The 7,251-nt window shown below is 38.2% G+C and overlaps 1 annotated feature.

The window, feature by feature from the left end:
* Window positions 4,686–4,980: a silencer, noted in NCBI's record as "tiled region #9485; HepG2 Repressive non-DNase unmatched - State 13:Ctcf, and K562 Repressive non-DNase unmatched - State 13:Ctcf". NCBI's record gives its function as "represses a minimal TATA promoter and a strong SV40 promoter by Sharpr-MPRA in HepG2 and K562 cells {active_cell/tissue: HepG2 | K562}" and the evidence as "EXISTENCE:reporter gene assay evidence [ECO:0000049][PMID:27701403]".

The raw sequence follows: 7,251 nt of genomic DNA, 5'->3' as shown, positions 1-7,251 counted from the left end.
GATTTCAGTTTCCCCAGTTGTAAAATAACAGGGATCATCTATGGGCTCTCTGGACCCTACTTGCTCTGACATTCTGTCCCTTGAGAGCTCAGGGAAAACAGCTTTTATGGGAGAAACAGTACTAGTCATCCCTGGAGGTCAAGATGACCTGAGCAATGTACTCTGCCCAAGTCCCAGAAGGCTCACATTCCCTTTATACTTGATCCAAAAAGGCAGTCTTTTAAGCTGTCCCAGCACCTAACTACTCTCTTCTGTAGGCTGAGATGAAAAAAACTCCAGACTTCTTTGGAAAGGGAGCCTAAACCCGAAACAACAATGCTCCTTGGATACAAGTAACATTTTCTTCTAGAAATAGAAAATGTCCTGTAGCTTAGTTATAATTTCTACAATCTGTTCTGCCAAATTTTTTTTTGGTTTGTAGAACTGCTATTCGGAGTTCTTTTGGCCAAAATAAAAATCTAACGTGTTTGTATTAGCCTGATAATTTTCATGGGATGCCCCATTTAAGAACTGATAAAAAGGTTATGATAGAAATCTTGTATCTTTTTATAAAGAAGCTAATTCTAATTATTCACTTATTGAAAAACAATCTATACACTACTTTCTATTTAAAAATATGTATTAAAATAATTCATCATGCCATAAACATATTTTCTTCGTTCTCACTTGAAAATAAATCTTTATTTTAAACAGCAGTTATCCTAGAAGATGTGATGTGGAATAGAACATGTAAATTAATTTGCCTCTAAAAAATTAGTTCCTCTGTTATCACTCACCAAATTTAGTAGTAGAAGAGATCCACTGGCCTGCATGATAAACAAATTTAGTTTCCCTGCTAGGAGACAGGGAAGATATATGAATGGCATTCCAGTAACCAACCAAAAGCAAGATAGTAACAGCCCGGCTTATGCAAAAAGCATTTGTGTATCTCACTTCAAATGTGACTAATAGCAATCGAAGTAGCTCCATCACGAGACGGAAGTAGAAGAATTGATGCCCAGTCCCTAAGATTTGTTTTGTTTTGTTTTGTTTTTAAAAGGCAGTCAAAAATTGTGTCATGCTCTGCTCACAGTCTTAAATAAAAAAGATCTTACGTTCTTGGGTGAGCTCCGTAGAAATGACGCCACACTCAAATAAGAGGGGACTTGAAAATATTTATGGAAAATAGAATTAAAAGATAAAAATAAAAAATATAAACTTTATTTCTTAACATAAGCTTCATCAAGGTCAAGACACTTTTGCAAGTTATAATTTAGTCCATCTCTAAAGAACTGAGGGTGCTAGGAATTTAACTATGCCAATGTAGTCTTTTCACTATAGTATTTACTGAAGAACAATTTATGCCTTTTAAAGATTTTTCAAAATTAGGAAACAAAAAATAGCCAGAGGGAGCTAAATCAGGACTGGAAGGTGGATGCCTAATAATTTCCCATAGAAACTCACAAAATTGCCCTTGTTTGATGGGAAGCACGAGCAGGCACCCTGTCATGGTGCAGAAGGACTCTGGTGAAGCTTTCCAGGGGCTTTACTGCTAAAACTTTGGTTAACTTTCTCAAAACATTCTCATAATAAGCAGATGTTACTGTTCTTTGGTCCGGCAGAACATCAATAGGTGACATGCCTTGAGCATCCCCAAAAACCTCTTGCCATGGACTTTGCTCTTGAATGGTTTGCCTTTGCTTTGACTGGACCATTTCCACCTCTTGGTAGCCATTGCTTTGATTCTGCTTTGTCTCCAGGATTGTACTGGTAAAGCCAAGTTTCATCTCCTGTTAAATCTTTGAAGAAATGCTTCAGGACATTGATCCCACTTGTTTGCAGTTTCTGTTGAAAGCCCTGCTCTTGTCTGCAGCTCATCTGGGTGCAACCATTTTGACACACATCCAGGGGAAAGTTGGCTCAACTTTACTTTTTCAGTTAGAATAGTGAATGCTGAGCCAACTGAGATGTCTATGGTGTTGACTATTATTTCTGCCATTAATCACCAGTCCTCTTCAATTAGGGCTTGGACAAGATTAATATTTTGCTTCCAAATTGATATACATGGTCTTCTGGTGTGGGCTTCATCTTCAACATCATCTGGTCCCTTCTTAAAATGAGTTATCCATTTGTAAACTGCTGTTTTCTTTGAAGTATTGTTCTGATAAGCTTTTTCTAAAGCATCAATGATTTCACCATTCTTCCACCCAAGTATCATCATAAATGTGATGTTTGTTCTTGCTTCAAGATAAATCATGTTGCTTTGATATGGAGCCTTTTCAAACTATGTCTTATCCTTTTTAGTGCCTGAAACTAGCTACTGTTTAGACATGTTATAACAAATTACTATGAGTTTATTTTTGTGCCAAAACATTTTGAGATTCACACAGTTTTTTCATAATACACCTTTTCCATGGATTCCTGAAGACCCCCTGATACACTTGCCTTAAAACATCATCTTTAAACCCAGATAATGTTAATAATGATAGACAACATTTGCCAAGAACTGAACCAAGTATTTTTTAAAACCTTACTTATTATTTTCAAACCATCCTACCATATAGGTCTGTATTATCCCCAGTTTATAGATGAAGATGCCAAGGCATGGAAGGTTAAGAAATTTACTCAACATCAACAAGGAATAAAGTCTAAATATGAACAGAGGTAGTCCAACTTTTAGCTATTTCATCTATGCTACATCTGAAGAGATCCTGATAGGCTCTCTGGTGCAACAAAAATGCCTGAAAACTCTTTGCTATATTGCAAATTGTGAGGTGGAGTCTAATTTTCCTCCTCTACAATCTAGGTGGGCCTTGTTAACTTTCTTTACCAATAGAATGTGGTGGAAATGCATTCAGGGACTTCTGAGGCCAGGTGATAGAAAGCCATGTAGTTTGTACCTGGGTCACTTGGAGCTCTCACTGTCTGGATTCTGTCTCCCAGAGCCTACTGCCACACTTTGAGAAGCCCAAATCACATGGAGTGGCCATCGGAAGGTACTCCTGCAACATCCCCAGCTCATCTACCAGATGATGGCTAGTGTGAGACATTTGAGTGAGCTACGTGAAACATCTATTAATAACTTAGCTGAGCCTTCAGATGCCTGCGGTCCTGGCTGTAACCACATGACATGCCCTCAAGCAAGAGACACCAAACTGAGCAGACAACTCAAGCAACCATGAGAGATAAAAATATCTGTTTGGTGCCACAAAGTATTAGGGTGGTTTATTACATAGCAAAAGATAAATGAAAGAGTCTTGTGTTTATAAATGAATTTTATGTTAAAAGAATATTTAAAAATTGACTGAAACTCAGAATACATCTCCCCATTGTAACAATGTTATGAATAGTTGTAAGGTTCCTAGACCAGTTCACAAAAGTCTATTTAGCTCACAATGTAGCTTAAATTGGCAATGAAAATAGTAACAAACAATATTGTTATTAATACAAGACTAGGAATTAAACTAAACAGATTAAAAATATGAGAAAAATTAGAAGCAGTTTGAAAACATTTTACATTAAATGTATGTATTTGAAGGGAAAAGAATTTAATTATAAGAGATAATTTCCTTTTGACAGGTATCTTTTAAGATGTCTATAAATTAATGGCATCTCCCTTCATTAGGCTGAATCTAACTACAAAATTTATGGTTTTTCTCAAACTCATATCAACCATAATTAGGGGTATAAAAGGGCTGTGTATTAAAAATAAGCAGAGAGATAAAAGAAAATGTTTTTATTGTTGCTTAATAACAATGAGAGACAAAAGGGAAGAATTGGAAGAAAGAGAATGCAGTGGGCATTTATAGTTTTTGTCACATACCTCTTACCAGGAAAGAACTACCCTGACTTTCCTTTGAGAATTATCTTTTCCTCCAATCTGAACTCCCATTATGTGGTTTTAGAGGGCATCACATTTACTTTCTGGGAGCCCCGAAGGGACCTCATAAATCAGCCTGTTCCCACCCATGACCAATAAAGGTGGCTGAGCCAAAGTTGGACCATTTCAGGCCAGTGAAAGGAGGCTGAGCATGAAAACCAAGCAGTGAGATTGTGAATTCTGCAGCTGTTGCAGCCATCATGTAATGGAGAAGGAGAGCCAAAGACAGAAAACAGCACAATGCAGAGAACAGAACCACATCAAGCTGAGATACAGAGAGAATCATGTCTGGCTGACAGTGAGATTCTGCCTCAAGTAGTATCTAAAAGGGTTCCCTACCACTGGACTCCCCATTATGTTAGCTCATAAATTCTATTTTGCTTTAAACCAGTTTAGGTTGAGTTGTTTGACACTTGCAGCTGAACATGTTCTGACTCATTGTATTCCTTATGGTAAATAATGCCAGCTACTTTAAGAGACAACTTTCCCAAATTCACTGGCTTTACGGTAAATGTTTGTTTTCTCATTCATATCTCAGTCTGATGCCAGTTGTTGGGAGGGCTCAGCTCCAGGTAGTCCTTAAAAGACTGGGCTTTTTTTTTTTTTTTTTTAATGTCTTGACCTCTTCCAGGTTCTTGTAGTTTCCTCCATGTAGGTAGTAGATGGATAAAGAAGATAAAGAAGATTTGACTGTGGAAAATTTTTATGGGCCAGGCCTGGGAGTGTTGCATTTCACTTTCTCTCATACTCAGAGATTAGAACTCAGTCCCATCAAACTGCAGGAACGTCTAGGAAATACAATCCAGTTACGTACCAGGAAATGAAAAAAGACAGATATTCATGGGCACTCACAGTACCTGCCACAGTCTAAACTCCCGGTCACAAAATATCTTTTAGCTCCCTTCTGCTCATACACTAACCACACTCATCCCTCTGTAAAAGGACACAGCCATGTCATTCTGTCTGGGGCCTCCTGGTGGTGCTGCCTTACCTCTGTCAAGCCTGAATACGACTTGGCTGCTTTGATTTGATTACCTGTGAATTAAAAAGACATGTAATCTAGCTTCTCTTTTTCCACACAAACCTTATTTATAAGATGGGAAGGGGGGCAAGAAAGCAACAATAAAAAGTCCTATTCAGGGAGTGAAAAAATGGAAAGCATTTTTAAATTCTACTGGGCACACATTAGAGAAATTTATTTGATTAGACCCTGATTCTGCTCTTTGAGAAGAACTTCCTTGTCAATTTCTTTCCCCTGGCCTCTGATTCACCTTCCCTGAAGTTGTTCCTTGTCTGTCATCCTCCATGGTCTCGTCTAAAGAGGGGATTGAGAAGCATCCTATTTGTGAGGATGTACCACCAGTCAGTATCTCACTGGAAAACAGATGGTATGCTCAAATTAGGATAATTTAAGGGGGATTTACTTATAACAGGACTATGTACAAGAGGGGTGGGAAGGGGAAGGGAAGCAACAAGGATAACCCATGCTTAGTAACTGTTGAGTTTTTGACATCCCTAGATCCTAGAGTATGAGAGAAGAGAGTGATTAGCAGAATCCAGAAAAAAAGAGTCTCTTGTAGAGAAGCTCATTCTGCAAGAAGTGTTGGCCCTTAGGAATGATGGACATCCAGCCTAAGACAGCCTTGCCAGTAGGGAACCAGGGGAACAAGCCACTTAACTTCTCTTGCTTTCTTCCAGTCTCTTGGTAGGAGTGATTACTCCTTGGTGGCTGCCGTTCTGTTTTCTTCCTCCTCTTGCTTCTCTCACAATATCTTGCTCTATGAGGGCATACGGGAAGCAGAAAAGAGGAATCTTATATGATTCCTCTTTTGGAGGAATCATGCATGATGGTGTGCGTGGCAATTCTACTTTTAATTCTGAAAAATATTATAGATTAATCTTAGAATAAAGAGATTGTCTAAATATAAAATGTAAAGAAACATGAATTAAAAAGGAAAAACAGATGTAGCATTCCAGAATTGACTATGTGATGAAAATATGGTGTGAAGTTAGGTGTTCAAATAGAGAAGCTGAGAGTTTACAGACAGGGCCTTCTTTGAGATACATTGATTTGACCAACTAATTGTTTTAATCATGCTTCTCTTTTGTTAGTTTCACATAGTTCATGTCACATCTAACCTCTCACAAAAAAGACACAGATTATGATTCATCTACTTCCAATTAGCATATTTATTTCTGCTAGCTGAAACACTTCTGACACCCTGTGAAAAGGAAATTCTTGAAAAATTTTTGCACATAGCAAGTCTGTCCACTTGGAAACACATTTGCGTACTTTATATTTTTATATGTTTTTCAGTTTAAAGTGCTTTACACATATAATTTCAATTAATCTTCCAACACTATAACATAGTTAGTGTTATTTCTATTTGCACTAAAATGAAAGTGAGGCTTGGAGTGGTTAAGTTACCAACCCAAGGTTTCAGGAAGGGGATTATGGCTCCAGGCCTTCCCCTGCACTTGTATCTCCTGATATCAAACTTTGCAGCACAAACTTGTCTCATTGTCCAGAATGCATGATGCCTCGTAACATCCAGAAATGTCTCCGGAATTGGGATATCAGCCTGCCCCAGACCACACTATTAGCATTAGATCTGCTCACATTTGCCAGTCTTAATTCTTACTTCTATGGAGGCTGCTAGACCTGCTTCTTGGGTCTCTCTGTCAGCAGGCAAAGAAACAAATCAATTGTCACTTCTTTAGTGCCATGCACATGGTACTCTTTCATTAACTGCCATTAAATTGAACTTAAAATTCCCACGGAAAAGTTAGCACAGGGCCACATTTTTACAAAGAGCATCTCTCTCTTTCTCTTGCTTATGTTTATCCTGATCATAGAATTCCTCAAAAAACTTTTTCACTCCCATCGTGTAAAGGATAGTCCACAATTTTTAGCTTTATATTCAGTACTCTGAAAAATCTCATTGAAACCTTTCTTTTCAACTTCAATTTTTACCACCTCTGGGAACATCTTATTTTCTACTCTGGCCAAATATCTTCCAACCATATCATAGAAAAGAAATCTAAGTCCATGATTCCAGAATTTTGCTTATTCCCATGCCTCCTGCAGGAATATCCTCCCCTCTGAACTCAACCAGAATGCCTCAGTTTCTCCAGGGACTAAGGACAGTTATTTTCTCTCCTTGTATCAGAGTTCAGCCTAGGAAGCAGAGACCATCCCAGATACTTTCAGCAGAAATGGATTCAATTCAGGGAAATAGTCAGAAGAGCTGGAAGATCAGGAGGTTGCCTCTCAGTTATGGATTGTAAGGTCACACCATTTTAGTTGCAGTCTAGCAGTGAGGAAGTTACTGCTATAGGAGCTTCTTGTCGTCACCAAGCTGGTGACTATGCGTTCAAACGCAAAGTAAAGA

Source organism: Homo sapiens, chromosome 12 (genome assembly GCF_000001405.40).
Source record: "Homo sapiens chromosome 12, GRCh38.p14 Primary Assembly".
NCBI lineage: Eukaryota > Metazoa > Chordata > Mammalia > Primates > Hominidae > Homo > Homo sapiens.
The sequence above is the reverse complement of the archived record's forward strand: the minus strand, read 5'-3'. Positions and strand labels throughout refer to the sequence as shown.